This window comes from Homo sapiens, chromosome 6 (assembly GCF_000001405.40).
Source record: "Homo sapiens chromosome 6, GRCh38.p14 Primary Assembly".
Taxonomy (NCBI): Eukaryota; Metazoa; Chordata; class Mammalia; order Primates; family Hominidae; genus Homo; species Homo sapiens.
The window spans coordinates 112,166,645-112,187,153 of NC_000006.12; the positions used below are offsets into that span (position 1 = coordinate 112,166,645).

The 20,509-nt window shown below is 40.4% G+C and overlaps 1 protein-coding gene across 9 annotated transcripts in view; it reads right to left on the reverse strand.

Annotated features, from left to right (window-relative positions):
* Window positions 1–20,509, reverse strand: part of LAMA4 (laminin subunit alpha 4) — a 147,055-nt gene that overhangs the window by 58,714 nt on the left and 67,832 nt on the right. For all 9 annotated transcript variants that reach the window (XM_047418770.1, XM_047418769.1, XM_017010854.3 and 6 more), the window contains exons 9-12: window positions 18,593–18,703; window positions 11,477–11,588; window positions 8,669–8,836; window positions 5,967–6,160 (exon numbers count right to left, since the gene is read on the reverse strand). In XM_047418770.1, coding sequence (XP_047274726.1) covers window positions 5,967–6,160; window positions 8,669–8,836; window positions 11,477–11,588; window positions 18,593–18,703 — 585 coding nt within the window. The remainder of the gene's footprint in view (window positions 1–5,966; window positions 6,161–8,668; window positions 8,837–11,476; window positions 11,589–18,592; window positions 18,704–20,509) is intronic.

The window sequence follows — 20,509 nt, forward strand, 5'->3', positions numbered from 1 at the left end:
TGCAGTAGATGAAAAACAATATGCTTCAAGTTAATGAGTTTCTCCCACTTACCGTATATAGCATTAGACAGAAATGAATAAAATTAGCTTTGAAACAAATAAAGATATTTCCACAGAAAAGTGGTCAACTTGAACAAAGTAAAATGTTGAAAACTGATAATTATGAAAATGACACAATTGTCACTATTCAGCATGCTTCACTGTGCATATTACATATGCAAAAAAATAGAAAAAGTTCCACGGTCAACAACAACAACAGCAACAGCAACAGCAACAAAAACAACAAAAAACAGTCCTGGGAAGGTAAAGCTTGGGTATATAGTAATCCCTAAACAGTGCTTTTGAAGGAGTATTTTACTTACTTTTAAACTATACAATCTCATGTTCATCTGATAAGTTTTTAATCATTCTGTTACCCTTTGGAGATAGAGGTAAGATGACAAAATAATGTAATTGCTAGTTGTATGGCTACTGTTGGTACATGTCAAAATGATTAAGCTCTGTGGGTACTTTTTTGGTTTTGTATGATAACTGAAATTTGGGGATTATTCTTTTCTAGCCCATGCTGTAGGTGTAATAGTGAAATGTAAAATTAAAACAATTAAATTTGGGCCGGGTGTGGTGGCACATGCCTGTAATCCCAGCTACTTGGGAGGCTGAGGCAACAGAATTGCTTGAACCCAGGAGGTGGAGGTTGTGGTGAGCTAAGATTGTGCCACTGTACTCCAGCCTGGGTGACAGAGTAAGACTGTGTCTCAAAACAACAACAACAAACCCACTTAAGTTTGTTTTCTAAAACACAGAGTCAAATTCCAGTAAGGTCAGATCCATTCAAATCTATTTGTCGTAGGAAAGACTATAAATAAAACATTGGATTTTAAATTTTGTTGGAAGGAATTAAAATTTCATGATATTTTGCAAAAGTATGCAAAAGAATGGTGAAAGTAGTGTTTAGTAATTTAGAAGTCCAAGTTAATATGAAATAAGAGTATTTGTGATCATGAAGAACCAGTGTACATAAATCAAATCTGTATTACTTGACAGTGCTCCAAGCATTTGTCCATCCATCTGTTCATCAATAGATGTAACAAATGCAAGTTATTGTGTTTGGTGCTAGGAAGATACAATTTGTGCAAGGCTGGAGTGCTGCCCTTGGATGCTCACGGTCTAGTGGGGTTAGACTAGATGCATACCATCACACACACACACACACACACACACACACACACACACACACACACACACACACAGAGTTATGCATTCAGCAATCAAGAGTGACTCCACCAGGCGCGGTGGCTCACGCCTGTAATCCCAGCACTTTGGGAGGCCGAGGCAGGCAGATCACAAGGTCAGGAGATGGAGACCATCCTGGTGAAACCCCATCTCTACTAAAAATACAAAAAATTAGCCGGGCGTGGTGGCGGGTGCCTGTAGTCCCAGCTACTCAGGAGGCTGAGACAGGAGAATGGCACGAACCCGGGAGGCAGAGCTTGCAGTGAGCTGAGATCGCGCCACTGCACTCCAGCCTGGGCAACAGAGCGAGACTCCGTCTCAAAAAAAAAAAAAAAAGGAGTGACTCCTAGACAGGAACATAGAAGAATATATGCTTAGTGTGATGAAGCCTGGTGATCATTCCAGTGATACAACCAATGGCTGCACCAGTAGAGAGGAAGGAAGGACTCCTTCTGGCAGCTAGTGTTCTTTTTTTTTTTTTTTTTGAGGTGGAGTTTCACTCTTGTCACTCAGGCTAGAGTGCAATGGCACAATCTTAGCTCACTGCAACCGCTGCCTCCCGGACTCAAGCAATTCTCCTGTCTCAGCCTCCCAAGTAGCTGGTATTACAGGTGCCCACCACCATGCCCAGCTAATTTTTGTATTTTTAGTAGAGACAGGGTTTCACCATGTTGACTGGGCTGATCTTGAACTCCTGACCTCAGGTGATCCACCTGCCTTGGCCTCCCAAAGTGCAGGGATTACAGGCGTGAGCCACCGAGCCAGCATTCTTAACCCAGGGTTAAGGTGGACTACCTGAACTTGCCTGTCAATCTTATACATGCGAACAAGTGCACATTTTTCTCATGGCAGGGATATATATGTGTGTGTATGTGCATGTGTGTCTGTGTGTGTGTCTGTGTGCCTGCATATTCCATAGTTTTCACTGAATTCTCAAAAGGATATAAGACTGCAGGAACCACTGGACTGGAATGAGTAGGCGAGGCACTCTACAGAGGGAGACACTTAACCTGGCTTAAAGGCTAGACAGAAGTACTCATGGATGAGAGAGATGAGCAAAGGAGACACCATGAGCAAAGGCAATAAGTAGAAAATGTGCACGGTCTCCAGTGGCTAAGAGGCAGAGTTTGTAGGAAAGTCAAGAAATTCACTGGAACAGTAGGTGGACTCAGATCATGGGTGGCTGAGGAATTTACCTTTCTTAAGTAGGAAGCCATTGAAGGCATTTGATGAAGGTTGGTTACATAGTTTCTATACATTTAGAGATACCTTGAAATCGAATCTGGCAGTAATCTCAAGGGGAGAGAAGCTGGGACCCTAGGCAGGGGGCAGACCAAAATATCCACAAGTGAGACACAAAGGAATGGAGAAATCACTGGAGAACCCAGAGCAGGAGGGGCTGACTTAGACCCTGGGGACTTGGAGGGGAGAGGAGAACCCTGGACAAGAATAAGAAAGAATGAGAAAATAGGAAAGGAAATTGGAGGAAAAAAGGTGTTGGTTTTCAGCAGGTAATAGCAAGGCTAATCCACGTGGCTATTCCTGCAGAAAGACACAAATATGAAAGTTGTGCTGTGGGGCTCAGTTTTGAATAAGGATGCAGACCCACAAATAAATCCCTTTTAAGGACTGAAGCAGTGAGATTGGGTGAAGTCACTGAGGGAAGAGATGGGGGCAAAAGGGGTGCAACTGTGGCTAATGCCAGATCCAAAGATCAGGAAGAGGAAGGAGAACTGAGGTGGAGCAGGGCTTTCAAATTCCTCAACGCTATGCTGTTCCCTTCCTGAAATCTTGCTCATGCTGTTCATTTGTATGCAGTAGAAGGGTTTGTTTGGTAAAGTTAAAATGAGCACTACCATCTGTCTGAATCAAAAATGCCAAATTTTTGGTAGCCATATGCATGAAGTTTAAAAAAATCTGTATAAGTTTATTTAAAAGCTATTCTGGCATTCATTCACTTTTAGAACTGAAGTCTCTTCATATAGGCAACACTGTCCTCTTGCTTGTTACATTTACAAAGTCCACTGTGTTTTGCACACACCCTGACATTTACCAACCACCAGCAAATCGGCTGGTTTGTGCCTAAGCAGATACTTTGGTTCTCAGTTCATTGACTGTGTGCTCCCCTTCCTGATTATAAAATTTACAAAGGACTTTTGGAGGTAAGATCTATTCCTAAAAATAAATCAGAAGAGAATGGAACATGTTAACACACAACATATGTGTTCTCTAGCACAAGGCTATGTAGAAGACAAAGCACTTGGCTGAGATCGAGAACTCACAATCTAAAATGAGAACCAAATACAGTTTATCATTATCGGTAGTATTAATAATAGGTCTTGCTTTTTTCTCAGCAATAAACATTACTCCCTGTGGCTAAGGGCACAGCTGTGGTCTGGATGGGATCTCCTGCAGGCCATTGCTTGCCCTTGTCCTACCAGGACCGGTCTGGGTTGGCAGGTCCACTTCTCATTTCAGGGCTTGCAGTACGGAACATAGTTCTGGGTCTTCACTGGTGAACCCTGAGAATTGTTGCATGAGGTTGCAGTGTTGTTTCTGTCTTACTTAAATGCTCTTAATCTTCTTTGGGAGTAGAATAGTGTTATCCTGCAGGCTAGGGGTATGGGCTTAAATCTTTCAGGATGAGAAGAATCACTTATTACTTAGCACTGAAAATGCATCTTCAATAAACTTGGGCACAATCTGACAAAACTACAGGATCCCCAAATTGGAAAGTCCTTAAGGTTTTCATTACATCAACCCAGTTTTTACTGAGTTGTTACTTTGTGTCAGACATTGTGCTAAATGCTCCATGATTCAAAGATAAAGAAGACAGATTCCCTTACTTTTTGGAGCCCTGAGTTCAATGGGGAAGACAGATTCATTAGCAGATGATCACAATTCAGAAACAGAGCTGTGCAAGACATGTTACAGGATTGGAGTATAGGGTAGGTCTCCTGGAGGAAGTAATGCCTGAGGTAAGACTTAAAGGATAAGTGAGGTTAGCCAGATGAGTAGAAAAGAAAAAGCGGTTTCCATTCCAGGCAGGTGAGATTACTGGTTGTGTGATATTGCCTGAACCTAATGTGTGAGGCAGAGAACAGTAAGAGGTGAGGCTGAGGAGGCTGGTAGGGTCAGATCAGAGGGAGTCCTGAATGCCACGTGAAAGAGCATAGGCTGTCCACAGGATAGTGTCTTTCAGAGGTTAACAGAGAATTGTACGTTGCAACCTGGTACACATATATAAGGCAGAACCGTGATGAAACCACACCTTACTATATATGTGTACTTTGATATTTTCTATTCCCTTGATTTCATTTCCTTTTATCTGTCTCTCCTTTTTTTTTTTTTTAAACTACTGGTTACAACCCATGAAACTTATTTTCTAACCCGCGAAATGGCTCACAAGTTGCAGCGTCAAAAGCACTGTTATAGGTGATGAGGAGAAATGAGAGGATTGATAAGCACATGCAGTTGCAGTCAGACTGTGACTAAGGTGAGCTGCTCTGGCAGGGTGGAGAGGATGTTTTGGAAGGACGCAAGAATGGAGGAGAGAGAAGGGGAGACTGTTTTGGTTGAGAAACAATGAAAGCCAGAACTAGAGAAGTTGTAGAGGAATGGAAAAGAAGGAAGAGAGCTAAAACATGTCAGATAGTAAACCTGGGAGGAACCTGCGGTTGACTGGATGTGGAGGAGGGAAAGGGGGACACTTCAAGGGTAAGGAGAGTCCCAGCGACTATCTTAAAACAGTATTTTGTGTTATACTTTTATTGTATAAGATAATCATGCATTCATTTAGCAAAAAAAAAAAAAAAAAGTTATCCCAACCATATTATTCTAAAAAATATTGGCTAGGGGTTTGCTCCCATTAGCAAACAGTGGTGATGAGTGTAATTAACTTTTACGGAAGAAATTTTACAAGGATTCTTAGTGAGGGGTAATGATGGCTGAAAATCAGGCTAGAGAGCCTAGTTTAAGTGGCTTTTGCCAGCCACAATAGTACATAACCGAATTCGTGAATTTGCTCATAATTGGTTTCTATTTGTTCACAGTATTCTTTTCTCCCTAATCTTTTAAAATATGTTTGAACATGCATGTGTCATCCTATCAAAAGATGGCCCCTCTTGATGCTGGCGGCTGTGAATACATGCATTGCTTGAAGCGGACACATGACCACTACCAGTTCTCAGCTTTGTAGGTGTGGGCATGCACGAATTCTGGCCCCATGAGATGACCATCTTTGCAAGCTATGATCACATCTGGGAATCCTCCTCACCTTCCTCTTTGCATTTGCATGGCCTTGGCAATTAGTCTCCTTATCCCTGCAGCTGCTGACCAGCCAGACTGTGAGATTTGCTTATCGTGCCTTTCCAAAAATTATGCATACCCAGAACCCATGGTTTTGAGATGCTTTGGCCTTCTAGTGCTCTCAGTATAAAAAAAGCTATGCATTGCTTACCCACTTGCAAGAATAACAGACCCATACACATGGACACAAGCATCAGAACTACTGCGTTCTTATCAAAGCAAGAACTAGACAATTATCCTAGTTTCAACTTGATTTTAGGAACACACAAGTTAGTAATTTATAGCACCAAAAAACACACCAATATTTTAAAATATAAGTATTTAACTATACCAATATTTTAAAAAAATTTATATCAACAGCCCCTTCTTGGTGTACCATCACACTGCTGATGCTGAAATGCATTGATGGTGAGTGTCCGCTGTACCTCATGGTCCCGCTGCCTGGCTGCTGTGGCCCTGTTCATGTCTTCGGCATCCCTGACATAGTTAAGGGCCTGGTCAAGTGCTTCCTGGAGATCTGACAACTTAGCATTGTAGTCATCCAGCTGCTCCAGGACGACAGGAAACAGAGTGCGGGTCTCATTGTGCAGCCGCTGCCAGCTCTCAGCCTGGCTCAGTACTGGGAAGAAATGGAGATAAAGGCTCAGTGTGGCTTTCTCCTGTTCGCTTCCATTCCTCCCAGCATTTTGCAAAGTTGCAAAATTCTCAGGCCATGCCTTCTTTAGCAATGGAGATTGAAGCTATTGTTCACAAAATTAGCTCCACCTTTTAGATTTGAAGTAAAAAATGCTACTTTTTAGAGTTTGGGAGTCCCTGGATAACTGTCAGTTGAAAGAAGGGTTTGATTAGTTTTCCCACAGAGGTTGTGCTTTTTGTGAAAACCATATCATTATACTATGCTTATTATTATCCAGATTATTAATAATTTTACTGTGTAAAGGGGACTTGGGTATAGTATGGTTTTTACTATTAAAAATAACCAAACTTATCTTGTCGGTAATAAGGCAAAATGATGTTCATACCCACTCATTTTCTGTAGTTTCTCTAGGCAACTGTTTTTAGTTAGCTCCACTGGGTCAAATCCAAACCATGATTTTGGTGGAAAAAAGATTAAATGGCAATGACATGATATTCTTAAACTTTGCATGTGTCTTTTATTCTCTGCTCAAAGGCACATGTGTTGAATATGTTGAATATGTTAATTTCTGTTTTCTTCAGGGAATATTAGCTTGTCTTGTTGAGATTTTCTTCCATCACTGTAAGCAGAACACAAAAGTTCCTGGCTGAGTATAGAAAGTGTTGGAAAATGCATTCTAGGTGGAAGGAGGCCGAGTGGGAGATGTGATTGGTCCCACTTCTCCAGGGAAGTCTTGTTAAATTCCACAGGAGGTGACAAGCTTGGAAACATCTGGCATTGACTGACATCTGAGCTCTAGCCTTTCTGAGTCTGACTCAGAACTGGGGCCTGAGATTCTTCTTTGGTTCTTACTGTTTCTAAGACTTTACATATTTGCCACCATAATAAACCTGTATGTCAGTAATGTCTTTCTACAGTATCCACAATAATTGTTAGCAGAAGTTGATAGTGACAGTTGTAGGAAAACGACCTACTGCCCTTTATCCCTTTTTGTGTCATTAGTCCCTTTGTAATCTAATGAAGCCTTCAGACTGCTTCTTAGAGTGTGTTCTAAAATGCATACAATAAAATATATAGAAATTAAAAGGAGACTAATATATTTAAAAACCAAATGTAATATAATAATGTATATGCTTCTTTACTAATCCCTTAACTAACAAGATCTAAAGGTGGATCTAATAGTTACCATAATTTTGAGTTATTGGTGAATTTAAATAGTGTCATGAGATATCAGCAGCAGCTAAAATATAATATGCAAATCTGTGATTTCTTCCATTGATTGTGTAGATTAAACCAATTGTTTGCAGCTCTTCCAATCAAGAGTGGAGTCTATCTCTCTACTCCTTGAGTCTGGGCTGGTCTTGATCAGTAAAATGGATATGACATTGCTGAGCTCCAAGCCTAGGCTTAAGAGACCGTGTGCTTTTCATTCTTGCTCTCTTAAAGCTGCCGTTATGTGAACAACCTGGACTAGCCTTGTTGAGTTAAGACCCCACATGGAGGGAGAGGCCCAGCCTTCCCGGCCAGCCCCAGACATCTGAGTGAGCTCAACCAATATATGTCACATGGAGCAGAGATGAGCTGTCCAGGTTGAATCCAGCCTGAATTGCCAACCCATGAAAGCATGAGCAATAAATGGTTATTGTTTTAAATGAATACATTTGGGGTGGTTTTTGTTTTGTTTTGTTTTGGGACAGAGTCTCACTCTGTCACCAGGCTGGAGTGCAGTGTGCAATCTTGGCTCACTGCAACCTCCGCCTCCCAGGTTCAAGCGATTCTCCTGCCTCAGCCTCCCTAGTAGCTGGGACTACAGGCACATGCCACCACGCCCAGCTATTTTTTGTATTTTTAGTAGAGATGGGGTTTCACCACACTGGCCAGGCTGGTCTCGAACTCCTGACCTTGTGATCCACCCACCTTGGCCTCCCAAAGTGCTGGGATTACAGGCATGAGCCACCACGCCCGGCCTGGGCCTTGTTATAATAGCAATTGATAACTGATACAGTGATCAAGTGATAGATTCAATAATACTACTGTGATTTGGTGCCTACACTCATTGCTGAAGGAAATGTTAAATTTCCACTGGAGGCTAAAAGATATTAAAGTCATTCATGGTCTTCACAACATGAATGTTTCTGGCCTTGTAGCATTCCTGCCTTCTCAATAAAATTTCTTTAAATGTAGTTCTGGGAATTGGTTTCCTTTAGTCTTCCTTCTACTGTTTTATACGTTTTTCACCAACTGCTATAGATTCCTTGTGGCATCTCAGTTGTTTCTCAGGGGCTCAGAATTGGGCCTGAATCTAAAAATCTTGGTTATAAAGTCAAGTTGTCCTGAATGATTCCCTGTGGCCACATGTAGATTCTAAATAGTTCTGAACACTGGAAATTGGTTGCTTTGATTATATGTTGCCCTAGGTTTAATGTCTGCTATTGGACCCACAAAGAGGGCAAACATGTGCTGGGTCAGCTATGAGAGGAATACACCTACGTTCGTAAGCCTCATCTGCCTCCTCATCCACGAGCTCCCGTTGGGTGAAAAATGGTTGACGGCTTCTAATCTCTTCAAGCATCTTCTGGGCCAACACCAGCTTCTCAGAGATTTCCTTGGGGCTAAGTTCATGCTCTTCCCCATAATAGAGCATCTTGTTGTTGATCTCTGAAAGGAAGAACATGGTGAAACAAGGCAGCAGGGAGAGATGACCAGGCACTAGAAATGCAAGGGAGCAAGGGCTGTGGGCAAAGGGCAGGGCTGATCCTGAAATGGAAAGAGAGACTCATTCAAAAGCAGCGTGCTAGTGTTCATGCTGTGAATCCCAGCGAGCATGGAAGCTCATCATCTATTCCACGAAGGAGAAAGACACGAGGAAACCACTCTTCTCTGCTTCCCATGCGGGGTCTTCAGAATGGGAACTGGCTAATGCAAAGCCTGCTCTGCTCTCATCCTCATCTGGTTTCCACAGTGATTTGAGAATGCTAATATTTAGCGTTAAATATTGTAACTTGATATTCAAGGCATCCAAATCTACAGTCTTTGATCAGCCTTTTATATAACATACTTAACTTGGAGAAAATGCTCAGAGATCACTCCTGTCATGGGTGAGATTATTAATGTGTGGAGTTATTAATTGTATTTTAGACAAAGATTTGATCAAAGCTTTAAGCCCAAATGAGAGCATATTGATAGCTGTCCAAATGAGTCTTTCAAATTATTTCACAGGCTAAATACAAAATGAGGGTTTGTTATAATATGATGTGAGCTTTTGCTCATTGATAGTTATTTTTTGGCAGTTGCTGTTTGCCTTCTAGAGCGTGACTACTCTAGGTCATTTTCACCCCACTTCCATAAGTCAGGTGGAGAATTTTAGAACTGGAGGGACCACTGAGGCTCAAAGGGATTAGGTGACCTGTCTAAATATTAGCAGACTGAAATACGTCTTTGAATCCCTCATTCCTACTACATATGATGAGAAGGAAGGTATGTAATTGTCACCTTGTTCTACTGCAGCTCCAAGAGGAAGCATTTTATCTTGCTGGCATAAATGAAATTGCGTGTCTGTGGTTTACTATGATCTATGTGGTTGACCAGACAAGATGGGTAAACAAACATTGGTGTCACATAAATCATACCAGGATAAGGGGTTGTATTTTATGTGGATAATAGCTTGAAGGTCGCCAGCGGTTATTTTAGAGATGGTTGGGAATAAGGAATGACATGTAATTGGTGTCTTACAGCATTCCAGAATTATATAAAGGGATTAAACATCCACTCCTCAAGTAAAGTCTAAAATATTAACCTGCGAAATAAACTAAATGTAAATATTTTTTCCTCAGCTCTAGCACTTGTGATGCTGAATTCTCTGGCATTTTGGTGCAAGTCTTATATTTATAATTTTGGCCTGTTTTAGTTTAGCTACTTGCAGTATAGATTAGAAAAGGGAAATACAGACAATAGTATTTTTGCCTTTGGTTTTTGGAGACGATTCACACATTATTTTAAAAATTTAAAAGCTGTTAGAAGTTATTGTTTCCCATTTACATTTCCTTTGCATTTTTTCATCTTTTCCCATGCTTAAAGGATCAAATAAGAGGGTTCAGATCCTTTGCAAATGAAACACTTTTGAATCAAAACATGGGTTATAATAGCAAAGGTGAATTATTTTCTCTGAATGGCTTACTAGGGTCCTGGCATTTGCTGCCTAAAGAGGCATTTATTTCTTAGTTGGATAAGGTCATGTTATCTTCTAGGTTCAATCTCACTTTTTGAACAAATCAATAGTAACTCTAAAATGCTATAGAAAAAGAATATTTTGTCAGGAAACTCAAAAATATGAGCCATGAGAGAGTATGTGAGTGAGGAGTGTTTGGATTGCATGTCATTTGCTTTTATTGTTTATAATAGACATCAAAGGAAACATGACAAATGATTAATCTTGCTTTTATGTATCCCTTTGCATGCAATATGCCCCAGTATAAAGACATGAATCTTCCACTGTGGGTCCCTTTATCGCTACTGTGCCCTGGGATGCACTTGGTGTTGTCATCCAGCCCTTAATATATAGTATAATAAAAACTATGGAAATGCAGATACTGGATCTTAGCAAACTCTCACCCAAGGAAATCTTCTTTATCCTATAACAGATGAAATCTGCTGTTTTCTGCTGGTAAATTGAAGGCCAACTATTAGTGCACTATTAAAATAGTCTTCAAGATTATCCTGCATGTATTGCAAGTGAGAGCACAAATTAAGCAAACCTCCAAGAGGGAAGGTACAATCATTCACAATGCTTTAGGACAAAGAAATCTCCCACAGCCCCGCTCCTTCCTTTTCTTCTGGGTTGGGGCCCAAGCATGTTGCCTGATTGGCCTTTGGGAAAGCCCATCATAGAAAGAGCTTGTGATGATTTGGGTCAACTGATAGTTTACTGGCATTCTAAAAGCAATGTTTTCTCTGCAAATAACTGAGAAAAATCTGTGACTCCTACTCAACTCTTGCATTTTAGAGACACCACAGCATGCAATCTCCTCTGTCAGAAGGTTATTCTGTGAAATGCCTAAAAAGGGAATGATTTTATACATTGATTATTGAACATCAACAGATAGTAAGTAGGGATGAGTGCTCAGAAATTCCAGATAAACAAACTTGAAATGAAGACCTTATACAAGTTTAAACCTATAATACTGTACCAACAAGTTCCTGGCACACAGCAAACACTTAACAGTAGCCATTATGCCTACTGATGTTAATAACATAAGTGTTTCCTTGATATTAAACTGAACCAGAAGAGAATATATTTACCTTGGATTTTATCCCTCATATCATGGGCTTGCTCTACCAGCTGACTTGCGTGGTTAATGGTGTCCATGCTTTCCTTCTGAACAAGTTGTCCTTTTCTGGAGGCTTGATTTTCCTACAAATAATCCGTATAAAGGCTAGATTAAATGTATGAGAAAAGAATGTTGTATAAGCACAGATAGGGGTGGGTGGGCATAATGTATTTCCTAAACGTAAATCTTCCTGGCATGTGAAAGTTCTATAACACATGAAATCATCCCAAAAATAATGCATGAAAGGTAATGTGATGGCCAGTTTTACTTTTAAAAAATTTTTTAATTTTTCCGTAAGTTATTGGGGTATAGGTGGTATTTGGTTACATGAGTAAGTTCTTTAGTGGTGATTTGTTAGACTTTGGTGCACCCATCACCCGAGCAGTATACACTGCACCATATTTGTAGTCTTTTATCCCTCCCCACTCCACTCTTCCCTGCAAGTCCCCAAAGTCCATTGTATCATTCTTATGCCTCTGCGTCCTCATAGCTTAGCTCCCACGTATCAGTTAGGACATACAATGTTTGGTTTTCCATTCCTAAGTTACTTCACTTGATGGCCAGTTTTAGAATGACAGAATGCTATAAAATCTGGTGCTATTCCTATATCATCAGTCACAGTTCAGTCCCAACCAACTGCCTTTCATATGTAATTTATTCTTCAAATTTTTACTGTATCTCAAGTTGCTGGACTAGAAAATTGCCCATGTCTGCTTATCATTTTGACATTGTGCTGACTGAAGAGCTTAAAGTTTCAAAGAGAAAATTGTTGAAAAAATAGGCAGACCTTGAAATGCACCATGCTTCCAGTGGCTCCTGGGTGGTCCAACCACTGCTGAAATTGAATTACCACAGAGATTTCAAGGATTATTCTCACTGGCCTAACATGCTGTTTTCAGTGCTTCATTCCAAATTCCCATCAACATTGATGGCACTTGTGTACAAATAACTGCTCAAGCAGATTTGGCTCAGCGTGAATGGAGCTCTTCTCCGAGAAGCTGATTCCATTCTCTCAACTTGGGAGATTCTGTTTCAGAGATCTCACACAGTATTTGTCAAAAATAATGCCCAACTCAAATGTGGCCTCTGAAGAAAGGGTTTGTGTGGGCGTCTGTGTGTATGTGTGTGTTTTTGTGTGCGTGGTGAAGGACAGAATGTGATCTAAGAGCACAGAAATGATTCAAGGCTAGGACACCACCCTGTATGCACAGCATGGGCGACATGTACTTACTTTTGGGATTTGAAGGACTGATCTATGGGTTATATTTAAGAGGAAGAGAAGTTCTTTAGTCTGGCATTTGGTCGAATGCCCACTTGCCTTGTCTGTTGCTTTTTTGGCTCAGCTCTTTAAAAACTGCTACAATACGTGAAGGAGCTGTGGGGTGATCTGCCACACAGAGCGCTGGTAGACCCATTATACAGAGTTTCCTGAGGATAGGGAAGTGGTTGTTTTAAACTTCTCTCCTTTCATCCAGTATTCTACCCAGAGGATTATGCCATGATTTTACCGGGAACGTTTTTACACTCTCCAGGAATAACCCAAGCAAGTGGCCCTCTCAGATGGTCAAGGAAGAGAATGCAGAAATGGTATTATAACAAACACATGCCCAGAGGCTTTTTATTGGAGAAGGGTAATCCCCTCCCTACAGAGCAAGGCTCCTGTAGTCACAGAGCCCACTGTGCAGCGGCAATGTGGTCATCAGTCCCTTCATAAACTGTGGGCTCTCTGAATGGACACTGTCTTCTGAGTCATTATACTCCTTCCTGCAATTCCAGTCTTCTTCTTGGCTTGTTCCAGTGCTTTCCAGAAAAACAGTATTTGTGGTCATTTTAAAATTAAATATGCAGAAACTATAATAAATCTTAATATTACTCCTCCCTGCTTTTAAAAAATACGGACACAAGCATTTAAAATTTTAGAATTTTTAATGAGTTGATCTTTGATCCAGTTTAAGTTATATTTGCAAAGCACAACACCCCTAGTTTTTACTTTGGCTTGATACTTCAGAGTAAAGCTCTATTGTTATTCCTATGTCATTAAACTTATTATTTTTTGATATGGAAACTTCAGTTGAAGTGATGAGAGACAGCTGAAAAATGTCATGCCTATAAGAAAACCTCTTCTTTTTGACAAACGCCAGAGGGCGCTAAGATACAGGTAGATAGAGATATATAGCTATTGATATACTGTATATATGACTGGATCAGTGGCAAAGAGGAACATCTATTCCTTTACATTGTAAGATGACTGAATTGAACCTATAGTGATGGCTTATATGAATGTTTATTTTTCCTGTAACTTTGCCTGTGGAAGGAAAATAATGATATAGGCACGTGGGAAAACAGGTGCGCCTCGGTTTAAGAAAAGCTGAAATTAAAAAATTACCTTGTAACTGTAAACTAGTTGGTGGTTTACATTACAAATGTATTAGTCATTTGCTCATCTCAACAGAAAATTCTTCTTGTACATATTTGACATAAAAGTGGCAAGGATGTCTTGGTAATATAGTACATAAAAGGTAGATGACGTGAGGATGATAACCAATATCTAGGGTGATCATATATTTTATGGTTCAACCTGGGGCATTTTTGCACATGAAAGGGAGAACTTTTAGTAATTATTCTGGGACACAAGCATAAACAGCAACAGTCCTGGACAAACCAATAGTAGGAATATTGGTGTGCTACTTCAGAATTTGTACAGTAATATCTACTTCTGCCTACCTCCTAAACATTAATGACCCTAAATTCCTTTCCAGCCCTGATTACCCTCTGAATTGCAGATTCACATCTCTATCTGCCCTCTGTGCCATCACAGATATTTCACTTTTAAAATGTCCAGAGTAATCCATTCGTGTTCGTAGTCTTAGTCATCCACGTCTCAGGATGGAGCTTCTCTCTTTGCCATTTCTCACCTCCAACTGGTCACCAAGTCTGTTTCATTCCACCTGCCACTCTGGCCTCTCTTCCTCTTTTCCATGACCACAGTCTCAGTTCATCCTTGTTCTGTGCAAATTCTTTTCAAATGAAGGCAAGACAGCAACCCACTGCTCTCTTCTCTAGACCACTGTGGCGGTCTCCTAAGCAGTGCCCCTATTGTCAGTCTTCACTGGCTAGTCTATCATCCACACTGCAGAGGGACGTTTCTAAAGTGCAAATCTAATCAGCTCATTGTTCTGGGTAAATACCTGAATGACTTCCAGAGTCCACAGGCTGAAGTCCCCATGTTCACGAGCGTGTTTGGGAAGGTTCTTCACAATTGGGCCTCTGACAGCTTCTTCAGCATTATCTCCTCCTCTCTCTGCCTTACAATGAATCTTCCACAAGGCCACAGTTCCAGTCCCAAGAACTTAGCACGCTGCTTCACATCTATCTGTTCTCATAGTACTTACCCCTTGCTTGGGAGTATCTGATAAACTCCTACTCATTCTCAATATACAGGCCAATACTCACCTTCTCTGAGAAGCCTTTCCTAGTGTACCCATGCCAAAATATTTCACTATTTCTTCCTTAGAGTTACCGTTTAGCCTGTACCATGTTTCTCTTATTAAATGCTGTATCATAATTATGTTTTTACTTATCTGTTTCCCTGCTAGACTGAAGCATCTTGAAAACAGGGCCTTATTATATTTCAGGATACCTAGCACCTAGCACACTAACTGTCACAGGCCGGGCGCGGTGGCTCACGCCTGTAATTCCAGCACTTTGGGAGGCCGAGGCGGGTGGATCACGAGGTCAGGAATTTGAGACCAACCTGACCAACATGGTGAAGCCCCATCTCTACTAAAAATACAAAAAGTAGCCGGACGTGGTGGCACATGCCTGTAATCCCAGCTACTCAGGAGGCTGAGGCAGGAGAATTGCTTGAACCCAGGAGGCAGAGGTTGCAGTGAGCCGAGATTGCGCCACTGCACACCAGCCTAGATGACAGAGCGAGACTCTGTCTGAAAATAAATAAATAAATAAATAAATAAATAAATAAATATTATATACAGATGTTCAATAATGCTTCTGGAATAGAAATGTAAACAGTTATCCCTCAGCATCCATGGGAGATTGGTTCCAGGACCCCACAGATACCAAAATTCATGGTTGTTCAAGTTTCTTACATAGAATGGTGTAGTATTTGCAATACTATAACCTATGCACATCCCCCTATATATATTATATCTAAATTACCTCTAATACCTAATGCAATGCCTATACATCACTTCGTTCATATGGATTCAAAGTAATACTCAGCATATGGTAAATTTGTATTTTGCGTTTTGGAACTTTGTGGAATTTTTCCAAATATTTTTAAGCCATGATTGAATCTATGAATACAGAGGGCCAACTGTACTTAATTTTCTCCTGCCTTTTTGGCAGGACCAGAGATGAGGTTCAGATGCTTTTGATGCTTGGAGATAGCCTACTTTCCTTTTAGTCCTGTGGGTCTCTCTGCATGAGTTGTCATTCAGGTAGCTTCTGCTGTGGTTCAAGGAGTAGAAGTGGAGGAGATGGTGCAGTACCTCCTGAGCCGCCCTTGGAGACTGTGCTTTGTAACTCTGGGCTCTGCAGTGGACCTTCAAGATCCAGATGGTGAGGGGCAGCACTGAGATTGGGAGAGGGCCACATCTCACCTCTGCTTGTAGCCCAGTGACACTCTGACCTTGAGCACAGTGGCTCTGGGAACATGGAAAAGTAGAATCTTGGCACGATCTTTGGAATTTTCATTGCAGACAAGATCAGCAGCACCAAAGGGAGCATCTTTTGAGCACTGGGTATTTATGAACACAGATGGATGGGCATCCTTTAGGGGAATCCCAGACATAAGTGGTGGGAAAGGGCTGTAGGACTTCCCAGTAGAAGGCTGGAGAATTTAGAAAGGGAAGTTCAGACAAAACCCGTAGCTAGGTGGATGTAACTTGTGAGATTTGGGTCACATGAAATCCATGTGGCAGGTAATTTGCAAAAAGTGGTATTACTTATCAAGTTCAAGGGGCAATATTACTGATTTTTATACACAATGAACTCCTTTACTCTATTTAAAGCCAAATATTAGTTACTTTCTTGATAGAAGGCTTTCTAAGACACAGCTTTCCTTAAATCTAAGAATCAGTCATGGACTTTTCTAGAGCAAGGGCTTGAAGAATGCTTAAAAAGTCATTAAGACCAGCCCTGGGCATTTGTTTTGAAATGTTTCAGCAGGTTTTTGCACCATCAGGACTGTGGTCAGAACATTATATTCAATAAAAATAGATGGAAACAGCTGGGTGAAAGTTCCTAGTAGCTTTATCATCAACCTCCTGTGTTGGTGGTCTGCCCTTCTTGTCCGGGAGCCTTTTCTACTGTGATGTTAACTTTCAAGCGTACATTATTTCCTCTCCACGAAAGCCTGCATTTAGCTTACATTAGAAGTGGGGAAATTGTACAACAAAAGGATCAGGAATTCTGCCTGGGCTGTGGGAGGAGCTAATCTTGGTGAAAACATTTCCTCAGATGTTTTCTTGAAAATTCTTTCCTCAAGAAAGAATTAAGGCTGGGCGTGGTGGTTCATGCCTGTAATCCTAGCACTTTGGGAGGCTGAGGTGAGCTGATCACCTGAGGTCAAGAGTTTGAGACCAGCCTGGCTAACATGGTGAAACTCTGTCTTTACTAAAAATACAAAAATTAGCCAGGCGTGGTGGTGTGTGCCTGTAATCCCAGCTACCCAGGAGGCTGAGGCAGGAGAATCACTGGAACCCGGGAGGCGGAGGCTGCAGTGAGCCGAGATCACGCCACTGCACTCCAGCCTGGGCAACAAAGCGAGACTCCATCTCAAAAAAAAAAAAAAAAAAAGAAAAAAGAATTAAGATAGTTTTAGCAAGTTTCAACCATATCTGATACCAACATGAAGTAACAATGAGTTTCCACAAATATTTATTTCTTGGTATTTCCTTTACTATTTAAGAGATTTCACTGCTCTTCAAGCACTAGTGGTTGGATTAATATGTGCCATTGCCGGGAACTAGGGACACAATTTTCATGATAATCTCTTAAAGGGTTTGGGGTCCAAGGTCAAAAGAGAATACTATTGTTATTTTATTTTTTTAAAATTTTTGTTGATCATGAGAATTGTTTATAATGTCAACTACCAGTTTTGGAAAGCGGCAATTCTGAAGTACTCTGGCCAGTACTGGTGGAATATCATTAGAAAAAAAAAAAAAAACTGTGTTAAACATTCTAATATGCTAAATATGGTGCCTCGTGACTTAGTTTGTAAAATTAGTATAGCACATGGATGGATGTTTTTCCATTAGGCTGTTGCGGAGTGCGTTGAATAGCCTTTCACATTGACTCTGCTCATGTTTTAATGTTTTTCCTGTTAATTCCTGACAGCTTTTACAAGTTGTATTTTTCTCAATATTTTTCTCTGTCTAGTTGTCTTTTTTGTTTATTTAGTTGTTTTATTGGATATTTGAAATTTTATCTTGTCAAATCTATCTTTTTATTGAAATTCTTTATGTTGTATTTAAGTGTTCTGTTATTCCCTTTGAAGATTTAATAAGTAGTTTGTTCTATTTTCTTGTGGATTTGAGATTTATACTCAACTCTTTAAACGGGCTAATTTATTTTAGTCTGTGGTATAAAGTGATGGTTGAAAGTGGTTTTTTCCCTGCCAAAGAGCGAAATTGCTTTCTCAGGACAATTCCCTTTCTTTCCATTTATCATTTAATGTATACTTTAACCAATATTTAAATTTTATATTCTATATAATAAATTTTAATTCTGGATGCTCTGTAGCTCTTAGTCATAAGATGCCTTGGCAAACACCTGAATGACCATCCTAATTAAACAAATCAACCGTATCAACCCACCGCAAATACACAGAAAATTCTCCACAAACATAGCTTTTCAAGAAAAACAATCAAAACGAGAGGAGACGGTAGAGACTGAGTATGTTAACTTTCTCCACAGGTCTGGTCTTGATTTATTTTAAGGCACATGGGTCACTGCATTTTTTCTGGGCTGTGTTAAGCCTCAGTCGTTTGTGACCAGCCAGCCTCACATCAGCTAAATCCTTTCTTTGAAGGCTGTCCCAGAAACTGAATACATACATACGTACCTTTTCAACTAATTCCTCTACGTCAGACAGAAGGCTTTTCATCGTGTTCTCAGCATTGTTGATTTGTATCTTTCTTAGGGCGTATTGGTTTTCTCTTTCTGACAATTTTGTCTGCAGAAGAATGTGTTTTGAGAATAGTCAATGGGCACACCAGGTTTTAAAAAATGTACATAAAACTCTTTCAGTGTAAGAGGACTCAGAGTAGAGTGTGAGGCTCTTTTCTCAAAATAGTGGGGTCCGCAGGCTGCTGCAGCCTGATATGAAGGGTGGGGTCTGCAGAGGGGACTGAGGCCCTTAGGGGCTAAAATTCTGCAAGCTCCACTCACTAGACCAGGGATGCTGGTCAGGGGCTGGGTTGACCATGGGGAAAGGGCTCCTTTTTCTAATTTGTACAAAGGTACAATATAGGCTGGTGGTGGCCCTGGGTGTCTGAGCTTTAGAATTTTAATTTTGTTAGGTCTGGAAGAACTGACCAACCCATCAGTATTGATGTAAATGGAGTATAGAAATTAACTTTCCTCATTTTAATGCAAGTCTCTTTATTTCAGACCCCTGGCTTTCTCCTTTTTCATTTTCGAGGAGTTGGGTCTAAATGCGGCTTTACTGAGATTACTTGGGAGTGAGCCCTTCAATCTTGACACTGACTTCCTGTCTGCCATAATGATTCCTGTCTTGAAGTTGTGCCTTTGAGGAAAGAGAATCTGAGTGGTTTCAGGAGGCCTGGATCTGGGTGACTCCCCTGGGGGGTAGTGTCTTCATGTGTTCCAACAGGTAATTTTGGACAAGAACAATTTCAAAGTTTAGAATAAAATTCACACCAAGATTCTATCCAGGCTACAATACAATTTTTGTTTTTGCTTACACTTTACATATTTGGCCAACTGCTATGGATATCATTTGCACCTCCAAAAAGCAATGAGTACTTAGTATGCCAGGTACTGTTCTAACTTCTGTACATATATCAATTCACTGAATTCTCTCAACAGCTCATGAGATAGAGGCAATAATTATTCAGGAAACTGAGGAATTATAGAGGTTAAATAACTTACCTACGGTCACACAGCTAGTGGGTGTCAGAGCTGGGATTTGAATACAAGCAACCTAGTTTCAACGTCCATGCTCTCAATCATTTTCCTAAATTGACTAACAAAGCAAAACAATGTGCTGGTATTGAATTCCATTTTCCCTCAGCTAATGATTATTATTTTAAAAATATCCTTTTGTTGTGATAGAAGCCCATGATTTAGTGGGAAAGAAAACTTGTAAATCTTAGCTATACAAGGACCTTTATATAGTCATCCCTTGGTAGTTGTGGGAGATTGGTCCCAGGACCCCGTGGGGATGCTCCAGTTCCTGATACAAAATGGCCTAGTATTTGCAGATAATGTATGCACATCCTCCAGAATACTTTAAATCATCTCTAGATTACTTATAATACCACTTATAATACTAACACAATGTCAATGCTGTGTAAATAGTTGTTACACTGTATTTTTCTTTTTTAATTGTTGCATTATTTTTTATTGTTTTTATAAAATATATTTTCTATCTGTGATTGGTTGAATCTGAGGATGTGGAACCTGTGGATATGGAGGGCCAACTGTATTACTGTTTTTGTTTTTTAATCTGTTGGCTGCTTTTAACTTGTTTACTAGGTATTAACCAGTAGAGCTATGAGGAGAAACAAGGTGTGTGTGAATGTCTGCGTTTGACTGTGAGTATGAGAAAATGAGAGAGAATGTGTGTAAATAAGAAGGAAAGGTGGGTGGGTGGTGGGGTGAGGAGAGACAGAGAAGAAGAAGGATGCTTCTAGACAAACTCAAAACCTTGCAAATTAAGGCTAAGGAAATGGTAGCCTTGCAGTACCTTTTGTGGTAATGACTTAAACAAGTAATGTATGGCTGCGCCAAGGAAATA